Source organism: Homo sapiens, chromosome 5 (genome assembly GCF_000001405.40).
Source record: "Homo sapiens chromosome 5, GRCh38.p14 Primary Assembly".
NCBI classification, from domain to species: Eukaryota; Metazoa; Chordata; class Mammalia; order Primates; family Hominidae; genus Homo; species Homo sapiens.
In genome coordinates, this window is record NC_000005.10 from 87,087,661 (window position 1) to 87,103,302 (window position 15,642).

Genomic DNA, 15,642 nt, shown 5'->3' on the forward strand with positions numbered 1-15,642 from the left:
ATAAAGAAGAAAAGAGAGAAGAATCAAATAGATGCAATAGAAAATGATAAAAGGGATGTCACCACTGATCCCACAGAAATACAAACTACCATCAGAGAATACTATAAACATGTCTATGCAAATAAACTAGAAAATCTAGAAGAAATGGATAAATTCCTGGACACATACACCCTCCCAAGACTAAACCAGGAAGAAGTTGAATCCCTGAATAGACCAATAACAGGCTCTGAAAGTGAGGCAATAATTAATAGCCTACCAACCAAAAAAAGTCCAGGACCAGATGGATTCACAGCCGAATTCTAGCAGAGGTACAAGGAGGAGGTGGTACCATTCCTTCTGAAACTATTCCAATAAATAGAAAAAGAAAGAATCCTCCCTAACTCATTTTATGAGGCCAGCATCATCCTGATATGAAAGCGTGGCAGAGACACAACAACAAAAGAGAATTTTAGACCAGTATCCCTGATGAACATCAATGCAAAAATCCTCATTGAAATACTGGCAAACCGAATCCAGCAGCACATCAAAAAGCTTATCCACCACAATCAAGTGGGCTTCATCCCTGGGATGCGAGGCTGGTTCAACATACGGAAATCAATAAACGTAATCCAGCATATAAACAGACCCAAAGACAAAAACCACCATATGATTATCTCAATAGATACAGAAAAGGCCTTTGACAAAATTCAACAGTCCTTCATGCTAAAAACTCCCAATAAATTAGGTATTGATGGGACGTATCTCAGAATAATAAGAGCTATTTATGACAAACCCACAGCCAATATCATACTGAATGGGCAAAAACTGGAAGCATTCCTTTTGAAAACTGGCACAAGACAGGGATGCCCTCTCTCACCACTCCTATTTAACATAGTGTTGGAAGTTCTGGCCAGGGCAATCAGACAGGAGAAAGAAATAAAGAGTATTCAATTAGGAAAAGAGGAAGTCAAATTGTCCCTGTTTGCAGATGACATGATTGTATATTTAGAGAACCCCATCGTCTCAGCCCAAAATCTCCTTAAGCTGATAAGCATCTTCAGCAAAGTCTCAGGATACAAAATCAATGTGCAAAAATCACAAGCATTCTTATACACCAATAACAGACAAACAGAGAGCCAAATCATGAGTGAACTCCCATTCACAATTGCTTCAAAGTGAATAAATTACCTAAGAATCCAACTTACAAGGGATATGAAGGACCTCTTCAAGGAGAATTACAAACTACTGCTCAACGAAATAAAAGAGGACACAAGCAGATGGAAGAACATTCCATGCTCGTGGGTAGGAAGAATCAATATTGTGAAAAATGACCATACTGCCCAAGGTAATTTACAGATTCAATGCCATGCCCATCAAGCTACCAATGACTTTCTTCACAGAATTGGAAAAAAACTACTTTAAAGTTCATATGGAACCAAAAAAGAGCCCACATTGCCAAGACAATCCTAAGCCAAAAGAACAAAGCTGGAGACATCACACTACCTGACTTCAAACTATACTACAAGGCTACAGTAACAAAAACAGCATGGTACTGGTACCAAAACAGAGATATAGACCAATGGAACAGAACAGAGCCCTCAGAAATAATACCACACATCTACAACCATCTGATCTTTGACAAACCTGACAAAAACAAGAAATGGGGAAAGGATTCCCTATTTAATAAATGGTGCTGGGAAAACTGGCTAGCCATATGTAGAAAGCTGAAACTGGATCCCTTCCTTATGCCTTATATAAAAATTAATTCAAGATGGATTAAAGACTTAAATGTCAGACCTAAAACCATGAAAACCCTAGAAGAAAACCTAGGCATTACCATTCAGGACATAGGCATGAGCAAGAACTTCATGTCTAAAACGCCAAAAGCAATGGCAACAAAAGCCAAAATTGACAAATGGGATCTAATTAAACTAAAGAGCTTCTGCACAGCAAAAGAAACTACCATCAGCGTGAACAGGCAGCCTACAGAATGGGAGAAAATTTTTGCAATCTACTCATCTGACAAAGGGCTAATATCCAGAATCTACAAAGAACTCAAACAAACTTACGAGAAAAAAACAACGCCATCAGAAAGTGAGCAAAGGATATGAACAAACACTTCTTAAAAGAAGACATTCATGCCACCAACAGACACATGAAAAAATGCTCATCATCACTGGCCATCAGAGAAAAGCAAATCAAAACCACAATGAGATACCATCTCATACCAGTTAGAATGGCAATCATTAAAAAGTCAGGAAACAACAGGTGCTGGAGAGGATGTGGAGAAATAGGAACACTTTTACACTGTTGGTGGGACTGTAAACTAGTTCAACCATTGTGGAAGACAGTGTGGCGATCCCTCAGGGATCTAGAACTAGAAATACCATTTGACCCAGCCATCCCATTACTGGGTATATACCCAAAGGATTATAAATCATGCTGCTATAAAGACACATGCACACATATGTTCATTGCAGCACTATTCACAATAGCAAATACGTGGAACCAACCCAAATGTCCAACAATGATAGACTGGATTAAGAAAATGTGGAACATATGCACCATGGAATACTATGCAGCCATAAAAAAGGATGAGTTCTTGTCCTTTGCAGGGACATGGATGAAGCTGGAAACCATCATTCTCAGCAAACTATTGCAAGGACAAAAAACCAAACACTGCATGTTCTCACTCATAGGTGGGAATTGAGCAATGAGAACACTTGGACACAGGAAGGGGAACATCACACACCGGGGCCTGTTGTGGGGTGGAGTTAGAGGGAGGGATAGCATTAGGAGATATACCTAATGTAAATGACGAGTTATTGGGTGCAGCACACCAACATGGCACATGTATACATCTGTAACAAACCAGCACGTTGTGCACATGTACCCTAGAACTTAAAGTATAATAAAAAAAAAAAAAAAAAGAAAATTCAGCATGGAAAATGCATCTACCTTGGACCAAAGAATAAGAAAACTGGTGGCCACAATACAGGCTTAGGTTTCAACTATCTCTGACCATCCTAAGGACCCTAGAAGCTCTTCTCCAGATGTGCTCTTCTCAGACTGCACAAATGTAGGAAGAAGGAATTGGACACAGAACAGGAGCCTTCCTGCAAGTGGAATGGCAATTCATGAGAGAGGTGGTTGGAGATGATCACAGAGAGAATTGGAGGAGATGCTGGAAAGAGGGCAAGTAGAATCAACTAGGACTTGGGAAATTCTCATTAAATTTACCTTGTGAATTACTTAGGTACATTTTCTCTGGTTCTCTGGGAAAAGTCCTATTTAACATGGTTTTAAACATTTACTCTTCTACCTTATAATTCCCTTTTGAAATTATTATAAACATGGTGTGATAACCATGAAAGGACTGCTAAGAGCAGCTGGAAAATAATGCATGTCCCTGAAGAAGACTCAGGACAGACAGCTAGACAACTATCTTCACTCCTCCTCCACCAAACAATAGAGGAGGCTGACTTCTAAAAGAAGCAGGACAATATTCGGGTTTCAAAACCTAGAAATATATCTCCCAATGCTATCCCTCCCCCCTCCCCCCACCCCACAACAGTCCCCAGAGTGTGATGTTCCCCTTCCTGTGTCCATGTGATCTCATTGTTCAATTCCCACCTATGAGTGAGAATATGCGGTGTTTGGTTTTTTGTTCTTGCAATAGTTTACTGAGAATGATGATTTCCAATTTCATCCATGTCCCTACAAAGGACATGAACTCATCATTTTTTATGGATGCATAGTATTCCATGGTGTATATGTGCCACATTTTCTTAATCCAGTCTATCATTGTTGGACATTTGGGTTGGTTCCAAGTCTTTGCTATTGTGAATAATGCTGCAATAAACATACGTGTGCATGTGTCTTTATAGCAGCATGATTTATAGTCCTTTGGGTATATACCCAGTAATGGGATGGCTGGGTCAAATGGTATTTCTAGTTCTAGATCCCTGAGGAATCGCCACACTGACTTCCACAATGGTTGAACTAGTTTACAGTCCCACCAACAGTGTAAAAGTGTTCCTATTTCTCCACATCCTCTCCAGCACCTGTTGTTTCCTGACTTTTGAATGATTGCCATTCTAACTGGTGTGAGATGGTATCTCATTGTGGTTTTGATTTGCATTTCTCTGATGGCCAGTGATGATGAGCATTTTTTCATGTGTTTTTTGGCTGCATAAATGTCTTCTTTTGAGAAGTGTCTGTTCATGTCCTTCGCCCACTTTTTGATGGGGTTGTTTGTTTTTTTCTTGTAAATTTGTTGGAGTTCATTGTATTGCTAAATGACGAGTTAGTGGGTGCAGCGCACCAGCATGGCACATGTATACATATGTAACTAACCTGCACAATGTGCACATGTACCCTAAAACTTAAAGTATAATAATAAAAAAAAATGGCACACCAAAGGGATCAAGTTAAATTAATTAATTAGTAAAATAAATAGAACTTTGTAGATTGGGTTCTCATCAAACCTCTAGAATGTTCTCTCTTTTTCTTATTCACTATCTTTTAATCTTTAATACAGTATGAATAGTAATGAAATAACAAAATTAAAGTCAAGATTGACATCAAAATTAAAATCAGAGTTACTCTGCCCTGACTGCTAGGACAATTGTTTTTGACAGATCACAGTTAACTGATCCCCAAACTTTGTGTAGGGATTGACATTATTATCAGTTTCAGTATTTCAGACTGTGACATGCTAGCAGATCAAATTTCCAGAGAGTGAGAAGATCTGCATATGAAGCCGGCCAAGAAGACATAAATACTTTTTCATAAATAACTTGTGTTTGCTTGGAGACATAAAAAGACTGGAGCAGGCCGTGGCATCTCACAGTGATGGCTCAAGAAAAATTATGTCTCTCCTTCCCCAAGACCCTTTGCTTGTTGTTGATGTTATCTCTTAACAACCCCTACAGAGACAGTGGGCTTTCTAAAGTCACTGTAGAGCCAGGTGCGGTGACTCACGCTTGTAATCTCAGCACTTTGGGAGGCTGAGGCTGGTGGATCATCTGAGGTCAGGAGTTTGAGACCAGCCTGGCCAACATGGCAAAACCCGATCTCTACTAAAAATACAAAAATTAGCTGGGCGTGGTGGTGGTGGGTGCCTGTAATCCCAGATACTCGGGGAGGTTGAGGCAGGAGAATCACTTTAACCCGGGAGGCAGAGGTTGCAGTGAGTCGAGATGGTGCCACTGCACTCCAGCCTGGGCGACGAGAGCGAAACTCTGTCTCCAAAAAAATAGAAATAAAAATAAATAAAGTCACTGTAGAACCTGTCATCTTATGCTAGAAATAAATATATGTGTCTGCTTTGCCAAAAACAAAAACAAAAACAAAAACAAAAAAACCTAGAAATACACAAAGGTGCCTGGAGTCAAGAATTATTCAGAAGATACTTAATAAACAAAATCTCTTTTAAGCAAGCTCCAGTTGTACTCCTGAAATAATCACTTTGAAAGGATTCCTGGTTGCAAGTTGGAGACGTTAGTGGAAATGAAATACTAAACCACTATGTAGCTAATTTCATCTTTTGAAGTTCCTTAAATAAGGGTCCCCTTTTCTCCTGAAACACTATTTTCCTTCTAGTCTTATTGGTATTTTCAAACACACACCTTCTGGTAGACTGCAAGCCATCCAAATGAAAGAGTTATGTGCTAGCCACTAATGAATACCCCAAGCACCCAAAACTACACATTACTTTGATTAGTTGTTCAATATTCTTTTGATTTATTTTAATAAAGTGATGGGTAAATTCCTGAATATTTACACAATCAACAGATACTTAAATTAGATGAATTAAATTAATAAGAAAATGGATTTTACTTCGAGAGTAGAGAGAACTATTGAGAGGTTTCAGATACAGTCAGTAAAATCTAGAAAAAAATGAAGTAAGAGGTGGCTTGTTAAAATAAGTCTCAAACCACTATCCTAATTGAGGTGTCATTAGTTCAGAAAAGGATCACACAAACACCTAGCTTAATAGCTTATAGGCTTATGAACTTTATTCACTTTAGTAAGAAAAAGAATCTACCTTTGAAAACAATTTTTAACTATTTCCCCAATGTTAATTTAAAGGCTTTCATGTACATTTAATTTTCTACACTAATATAATATATCCAAGACAAAGAAGAACCAGGAGGCACTAAGTTGAAAAAGACAATTCTCAACTATTTCAAAGGGAGAGCAAAGGGATAGTTTCTACATAAACATTAATTTCATTCAGTTGATCGCAATATGATATTTTACCTCTCACCTTTCCTCCTCCTTGGAATTTTTGCTCCATCCTTCTTCATGCTTTGGGTAGAATCCAAGCCTATCACAAGATTATTAGGAAGGGTTCTGAAAATTCATGCCTCTAGATGAGAGGGGGAGAAAATCTTTCAAAGTCTCAATATTAATTCAGAATCTTAATTCTGAATCTGAATTAAGTCATTTAAAAATACTTATATATGTAGCAATCATTTCAGGTTCTTAACAATAAAAATAAAGGCTAAATTATCTTTCTCAAACAATCTGTAAGATACAGAAACTGATTGGTGCTTATGCATTTTCCTGTCTCTCTAAAATTATAACTTCCCAAACCTTCTGATTTTGTCCCAGAAAGGTAAATTCAAAGGCCTAGTCTCTTGCCCTTGGCATTAATTTGAGAGATGATGCAGACATCTTCTCAAACATATATTCCTTTCTAACATGTCACAAAGCAGATTTAAATGGGTACAACTTCAAAGCCAAGCAAAAAAATTAAATGTTCATACTACAGATTGAACATCTAAAGAGATTTTAAGGAAAGTTCCCTTTGAAAATTCTGCCCTTGAGAGAGAGTTCGCTTTTCATCACACATTTAGATTTTCATACTTGCTACTTTCACAGAGCATTCTGAAACTATTTCTCCTCTTGTGGTTGTAGTTTAACACTAGATCTAATAGCAGAAACCACTTTTTTCTGCTTATCTTAAGCAGGAGCGCAATCTGAATAAATTAATTTTATTTCTCTCCTGTTGGGGAAGTTCAGTCCAAATATCTATAAACAGATTTCCAAGTTGCATCTCCCATATTTAGATTTAAACAGTTCATCCATCACAAATACAGATTTGAAAATTATGTCCACAAATCCATTAAAGAAGTTTATTACATTCCATTTTGAATGACTGCAATTTGTTGGAACAGCAAGTAGGAAAACTAAACATGTTTGCATATACCCTGAAAAATTACATAATCTGAAAATTCTATTTTACTGGCAATTTAGTAATACATTATACCCATTGCATTTGCAGGAACTATGAAATGTAGCATTTCATAAAATGCTGAAGTTTTCTGAAATAATAACGTTAGATAGTAGCTTTAAAATTTTGAATAACACTAGCCATAGTCTAGCACCTTGCCCTCTGCTATGTAAGTTAAAGACCACAATTTCTCCTAAAGTGGCTTTAATGACATCAGCTGAAATTGTAGCGAAAAAAGAAAAGGAAAGAAGAAAAGCAAATAACAGTGAAATAAATAAATAAATCATTCCTGGTTTAACGATGTAAAAACAGTAATGAATTTCCAACTGAAGCGTCTCCAGAGTTAACATAGGACAAAGAAACAAAACTCTGTTACATAGAAACATCTTTTATATTGATGCTATGAAGTGAAAACTAGAAGCCACATGAAGGTAAACTATAAGCAATCGCAGAATCACTAGCTGCCTCAATTACATTAAAAAGCATTTATTAAATACACTATAGATGACATGGAATGGTCTTAAGAGACATCTGTGAAAGACAGTATCACTTCAGGATGGTTTAAGATAAGCAAATTCCAGTTAGCTGATATCAGTTATTTTGGACAGGAAAAACATATTGAAAAGCTGTATCATTAAGAGTCAACAGTATTATCTACAAGAAAGATGCTCTGAAAAGTCAGATTTTTAAGACTTAGCACTTGCAGTTTATGAAGTGGTAAGAAAGGATTTAAATTTAAAAAAAAAATGTTTATAACAGCTTGAAAGTCAATTGAAAGAACTAGAATTTATGTAGAGTTCCCTGAAGGGTATTTTGTTTATCTATTTCTAGGATACATGACCTTCAAACTTGTTTTTAGCCATGGAGCCACTTACTCAAATGAAAAAGATTAGCTCTGATCTCTAGAGCTGCCTTACTGTTGGATAATCTTCCAGTTTCAGACCATGTGCATCCTTAAAATCCCTAATTAAAATTCTCATCGGAATAGTGGGAGAAAAAAATGACATGAGGAGAAAGAGAGAGGTCATGGCAATCTTGATTGTCATTGTTGCTGGCTATCTTAAATGTCTCTGGGGACAATCTAACCCAAACCCCACTTTCAATTCCTTGTTCCACTTCTCCACTCCATTCCAGCTAATCACACCTGAGGCTGCAACCAAGTTTTTTTTATTTTCTGGAATGGCAAAATCTCAAAAGTCTTTATTTTTCTTATCATTCTCTCTGGCCACAGCACCCTTTCCAGATAACTCTGCCATTCCCCACACTAGTGTTTCTGCCTTATGAATACAATTATTTCTTCAATGTCTAAACTTCCCTGATGCATCACTGCTATCCGTAACCTAAATAGACCTCATAAATCACTTAAACCAGTGCTTTTGAATCATTTGCATAGCATGATAGAAAAAATAATATTTTAATTAATTTTAACATTTTATTTTAATATTTTAAATGCTCAAGGCTACTTATGCCAGTGGAAGTAACTAGCCTGAGAGTTCTGGCTCCTCTTGCCATGCTCAGCCCTTAGAGGGCTAAGAGGAGCTTTATCTCAGCATCTAAGTGTGCTACAGCTACAAAAGACATTGTGAGTTTTTGTGGAGGAAAATTTTGGGAAGCTCTGACTTAAACTACTTTTTACTAGGACCCTCAACTCCCTTGCCTCCTTATTCTCCCAAACAACCTGCCCTCAGTGCTAGAGCAACATATTCAACTATGGATTTCTTCTGCTCTTCAACATAAATTCTTGAGCATTATGGGGAAAAGTCACATGGTAAGGGGGACTGGTACCAACACAGGGTCTTGGTCTCTAACTTTGGATAGGTTCTGAAGATCAGCTGGCAATCTTTTGGTGAGCTCCTAAGCAACTCCATCTCCGATGCCATGTAACAGCCTTTTAAACCTTCACCATTCTCTTGAAGATCTTAATCCTAAACCCTCAAAGACTCTTAGGCCCCCCTTCACAGAAAAATAGAGGGTATTAGGTAAGTGTTCTTTCAACTCTTGCTCTCTCCCAGAAAGACTTGTACCTGAATCCAGGAACTCCATCTTCTCTCAGGATTCAGTGAAGACTTACCCAAATGCAGGCTAATTCCTCCTACACACTCTCTAGATCCTACTTTTCTCTGAATTCCTTGAGGAAGCCTTCCCATAAATTATCACTTCATTTACTGAATTTAAATGCAGCCTGTCTATAAGCTGTTTCTTAGTCTGATAATTATGTTAAAATCTTTCTTAATTCTACATTTCCCTATTTCTCTTCATCCCACCATAGCCAAGCTTTGTGAAAGGATCAAGTGACATTCATTATCCTCTTCACCTCCTATTTACTCCTGAAATGGAAATGTTTCGCCTCCCTTCAATTCACTGAATCTGCTCCTGTCAAAATCACTAATAACCTCCTAATTTCTCAACCCATTGGACGCCTTCCAGTCTTTAGCCTCCTGAACCCAACTTCGGCCTTCAAGACTTTTGACTCACTTTTCAAACTCTCACCCTGCTTGCTTTCTGTGCTATGGTTCTTTTCTGATTTTCCTTCTATTTCTCCAGATGCTCCTTTTCAAAATCTGTTGTGAGTCCCTCTTTTTCTACCACCACTCTTTTTTTAAAACTTAATATGCTCCAGATTTTATTATGAGCCATGTCTTCTCACTTTAAATACTTTCTCTGCAGTTCTTATCTAACCTAGTTGTAAATGCCCACTATAGGCAGGTTAAAACCTTTAGTTCTCTGTCTCTATCATTAGAATGTAAACATGTTGAGGGTAGGGAATTTTTCTTATCCCTCATTGTATTTTTAGCATCTAGCACATATTATGTGATCAGTATATATTTGTGGAATGAGTGAAGGAATTTTACATCTATATTTTTATCCCAGATGTTACTTTTAAGCGCCAGGATAGTTATCACATTGCCTACTTTCTGTTTCCGTTCAGATGTTCCTCACATGTCTCAAGTACATATTTCAGCCCAACCTCATCACACTTCTATATGTTCCTTATGGTGTTCAGATAACAGTCACAAAGTGGGTTAGTAAGACACAGTGATCACCCAGCATTCTTATCATGATGTAGTTTGTGGTTCTCTGCTATAAGAATTAACAGCTTGAAATGGAAAGTATAATGCAAGAATAATATTTCAGAATTTATTGATTCATACAAGGATACAAACATAACTCTTGAAAATATATCTAGGGCTTATTAATCTTGTAGTTTGGCCATACACTCACATCTTCCTCTATTTGAGCCTCCTGAAACTAATTTCAGCCTTTTGATTTGATTTTTGATCTGTTTAGAAGGACTGTCATATTTTCTCAACTCCTTCTCTTCCTTTACAATAATAGATGAGCTGCCAGCTCCTTCTGGAGGCCTTGGGTTTTGTCTTCCTCTCCCGAGTCTGGAGTGAATCCACATGCTACCTGTTCAAAGCTCTGAAGGCCTGCCTGGCTCATAGAATGTATCACCTACTATAGGAACTACCTGTTGATTTCTTTGTTTCCTGTACTACTTAATGAGCTTCTAGAGGACCAGAAGGTTATTCTGTTCTTATATTCTGTATGCCCAGAGAGAAGCATAGTGCCTGGCACAGAGTAAGTCCTTAATTAATAAATTTGGGTAAATAATGCTGGCAAGATGAGGGTTTTGTTAATGGGAGTGAGTAGAAAGAATAAAATTATACACAATTGAATGGATCATTAGGTTAAATCATATGTTTTAATTCAGAATATAACTTATTTGCCACCGGGCGTGTGGCTCACACCTGTAATCCCAGCACTTTGGAAGGCCGAGGCAGATGGTGATCACCTGAGGTCAGGAGTTCGAGACCAGCCTGACCAACATGGTGAAACTGCATCTCTACTAAAAATACAAAAATTAGCCGGGCGTGGTGGCGGGCGCCTGTAATCACAGCTACTTGGGAGGTTAAGGCGGGAGAATCCTTGAACCCAGGAAGCAGAGGTTGCAGTGAGCTGATATTGCACCACTGCACTCAGCCTGGACAACAAGAGTGAAACTCCGTCTCAAAAAAAAAAAAAAAAAAAAAAAAAAATATATATATATATATATATATATATCTTATTTGCTTATATTTGCTGATCTTCCAAAGGGATCAATAAACTCATCATCTGTAAGCTTAATAAGGATAAGAATAATGAAGGAGAGTTCTTTAATCCAGCCAGTATCATAGCCACCTCAGATTTGGCCACTGTTCTGCACAGCTCCTGAATGTGACAGAGTAGGTCTTCACCTGCATTTTCCTTGGCACTCTCCTTTTTTGCATTTCCATGTTTTCTAAGGCTTTTTGCCTGAAATGTGGTCCTGATGACTAGAATTCTGGCGGCCATTGTGGAGCTTTAAGAAAAAGGTGAACAGAATCACAGGAACTTCTGCACTAACATTTTTAAGCCATGAACAAGCAACTACCTACCTCTACACTTCTTATTACAGGAGAAAAATAAGTCCTGATGTGCTTAAGTCACTATGACTAACAATAGTCATATTCTTAGCTAATAGAATAGCCAACTACATAATATTATTTTAAATGTTTTGAGACATTCCTATCACCTGCACTCCTACCTCCCCACATTCTTACTGGATTCCCTCAACACACACACTGACACAGCACAGCACACATACCCACCCATATACACATATCCCATTCATCAGTTGGCCAAAGCCTGAAATTCCACAATTTGAGACTCATTTTCTTAATTTTAGTCTTTGATCTGCTTCAAAATATGAATGACCTTTGAATTAGTAGCACTTAACTTTAGACATTCATCCTTCCACAAACTTTTATAGCTTGTTTATTGTGTTGCCTGGCACTCTGATATGTATCTGAAAGTAAAGAAGATACAGTCACTGCCCTGAGGAGATTATACTCCAGTGATAAAGTCATTCCCAGGCCGGACACAGTGGCTTATACCTGTAATTCCAGCACTTTGGGAGGCCAAGGCAGGTGGATTGGTTAAGCTCATGAGGTTAAGGCTGCAGTGAGCTGTATTCTGGCCACTGCACTCCAGCCTGGGTGACACAACAAGACCCTGCTTCAAAAAAATATTAATACAATAAAAATAAAGTTATTCTCAAAAACTAACATTAAAATAGAGTCTCTGTGCTTGGAAAGAAGCATTAGCTTGTATTATTGAGGCACAAGAAAGGCATATCAAATTCATTATGGTGGGCAAAAGAAGATTTCCCAGAGGAACTTTCATTTTAGTTGAATGATCAGGACAAATAAAAGCTGGAGAGCTATTTGTTCAGTGGGAGTGGCAGTGTGCAGGGAAAGCATAAGAGGGAAGAGATCAGCAGGGGGGAATTCTGGGCATGGTAAGCATGGGAAACAACACATTTCAGCCTGACTGACCCATAGGGTATACCCACAAGTGTGTTGTAGGAGAGAAAAAGGAGGAGTCTTATATAAAATTTTATGACTTTAAACTTATGCCAGAACTTAAAGAAAACCATGAAGTATTCTAATATATGTTACAACATGATTAGATTTGCATTTTTGAAAGATTCTACTTTTCAGTAATGTGCAGAAAGAAATACAGAGGGATAAGTCATGAGACAATTAGTACAAAGTGGTTTATCTCAGAAATCCAAGTAAACAGTGATCAAAACCTATAGAAGTAGCAGAAACCATGACAGTATAGTTGGTAAGGGGGCAATTATTAGGAAATACTTATGAGATCAGATGGACACGACTTGGTAAACAACCAGATTGAAAAGTATAAAAGCAGAGGAGTTGGGAATGCTACCTAAGCTTCTCACTTGACCAATAATAATATTTATAACTACCCATACTAAAGCTTGATTTTTTATTTGAAACAGGGTCTCACTCTGCTGCCCAGGCTGGAATGCAGTGGCACAATCATAGCTCACTGTGACCTCCAACCCCTGTGCTCAAACAATCCTCCTGATAGGCTCCCAAAGTGCTGGAATTACAGGCATGAGACACTGTGGCTGGCCTAAAATTTTAACATATGCCAAATAAGTAGAAAAGGTGACATTTGAACACAAGCCTCTATGACTCCAAAGCCTGACAGATAAGTCAGCATTGCCTGCCAATGCCAGACCACTGACATTGCCATATATCAAAATTACAAAAAAGCACTTTGGGGATAAATAACAGAGAGGACAGTTTCACCTTATTCACTTTTTTCACTTTTGCATGTTCTATATGAAGACAAAATCTTAACATAAAATTTCTCACTGTATTTCCAAAATCTCAACTCACTATGGGTGCAAACACTTTCTGATAGAGACATTAGAGGCTTATAAATAGTATATGTCCAGCTCAATTGTGTAAAATCCCATAACAGAGACTTAGATATGCCTGGATGGGGTTAAATGTAAGTGATCGGTTTCAAAAGGCTCTTCTGAAAAATAACAAATATGCTGGTGCCAATGATATTTCATTTTGTTCTCACTTCTTCCCTTGCCTCATCAAGTCTGAATTTCCAGTCATTAGTTACTATGGAATGTGGACTTCTCTCAAATGAGGTTTCAACCTGACACCATCACTATTTCACCTTTCCATAGCTGCAATAATTTCAGGCATCCATATAATAACCAACACTAGAGATGTGTAAATAATCTGCCACAGTCCGTCAGTGATTAGGATTGTTTGTCTAAAAATGTCCTTAGGTCAGCTAGCAGGATGCTGTTCTTCTAACCTCTTCCCATTCTGCTTTTTGTTTTTATGTCATTTGCTCACTTCTCACAGGATGTGAATTTGACTGCAATGTCACAGAACCGTTAAGAACTTTGTAGAATTAAGACCGTACAGCACAGCCCATATTTCATTCATCCTTAATCCTCAAATGAAGTCTGTTAATATTTATAAAAGATGTCTACATTAATGATTCCTTCTTCTTCAAAAGGCAACTTCTCAGTCATAAAAACTTGGTTTACATTTTTTTCCTTATTTTTCCTCAGAGTGACACTATTTATAAGAAAAGAAAAGCTGGTTCATGCCAAGAAGAATGGAGGGAATCCTTGGCTGTCTAAATTTGCTAATCTCATGAAATAGCAAATATTTGAAACCGCTTCAGCTGATCCCCAATTTATCACACCCATGCAGACAAAAATCACTGACATTGAAAGTTATAATCCTGCACAATCTTATAATGCATATTTTGTTCACTAGACTGATAATGAGTTCTTTTTTAAAGTATCACTGATTCAGCCACAAGTCACTGGCTGTCAAAAAATGGCAGATTGCTCTTCTGATAAAGTGACACCATACGAAATACATCTTTGAACATAGGCTGCTTTTTAAATTGTAGAGCTCACACCTAAGGAAGCAATACCATTAATTGGAAAATGTCTTAAGATCACAATGTGTTGCAACAATGGAGTATCCAGTTATGGGTTTTGGACAACAGGAATAAAAGAAAACAATGTTAATTTTCTATTCAGTCCAAACAAACCATTAAGTACTTTGTTAATGTGTTTAATTTTTCTTTCCCCAGTCCAGCAGTAGCACAAATGCTGCCACTCTGAAACTTTCTCTATTGTAGTAAGATTCTTGTTATACAGTTCTCTGGCTTCAGTTCTAACACATTATTTTATTGCCTCCGTTACTTAAATATAATCATTACCACTCTTCCAAAACTGCCATGAGGCCTGCACTGCTTGGAAGGAGAATGAGGGTTTGATTTCCTTTGGGCAGGAGAGGGAAACTGGAGAAATCCTATTTTCTCCAGTTAGACTCACCAACCTGCATGTCCTATATGACAGACAGACTCCTGCTGTAAGGGTCTAGATTCAGACTCTTTCCCCCACATTGCTTGTTTGGGATCTTCATCAGTCCCAAAAGAGGCACACTAAATGTCTTATCCTGAATGTAAAATTTAAGTTGAAGCAAAGAGAAATGAGAAGGATGGTAACATCTACCTCACCAGCCAGACCAGTTGAATATATCCTGGAAATGAACAAGGGGTTAGTGTTGTAGCCAAATCACTTCACATCTCTCTATTTAATCATTTTCAAATGCAATGCTTTAGGATTTACCAATTCTAATTTGAAAACAGCTGTATTCTCCCATCAAAGGTATCTAACTCGAAAATCAATTTTGGTGAGGATTGCTAAATAGCACAGCTTGTGTATTTATCACAGGGCAATAGTAGTAAAACTCATGCACATAAATTGAAATATGGCCATTCTCATTTCTAAAAATACAAGTATTGGGCTGGGCACAGTGACTCACACCTGTAATGCCAGCACCTTGGGAGGCCAAGGCAGGCAGATCACTTGAGGTCAAGAGTTCAAGACCAGCCTGGGCAAAATGGTGAAACCCCATCTACTAAAAATACAAAAATTAGCCAGCATGGTGGTATGCACCTGTAATACCAGCTACTTGGGAGGCTGAGGCAAGAGAGTTGCTTGAATTCGGGGGGCAGAGGTTACAGAGAGCAGAGATAGTGCT

The 15,642-nt window shown here is 37.8% G+C and overlaps 1 long non-coding RNA gene and 1 pseudogene across 1 annotated transcript in view, besides 1 other annotated feature; both read right to left on the minus strand.

Moving 5' to 3' along the window:
• The window catches only part of MIR4280HG (MIR4280 host gene), a 73,290-nt gene that overhangs the window by 38,755 nt on the left and 18,893 nt on the right, over positions 1-15,642 (minus strand). The gene's annotated exons all lie outside the window — the stretch shown is intronic.
• Positions 14,258-14,458: a silencer, noted in NCBI's record as "peak5331 fragment used in MPRA reporter construct". NCBI's record gives its function as "represses an SCP1 promoter by STARR-seq MPRAs in K562 erythroleukemia cells {active_cell/tissue: K562}" and the evidence as "EXISTENCE:reporter gene assay evidence [ECO:0000049][PMID:32103011]".
• RN7SKP34 (RN7SK pseudogene 34) lies at positions 14,943-15,186 on the minus strand (annotated as a pseudogene).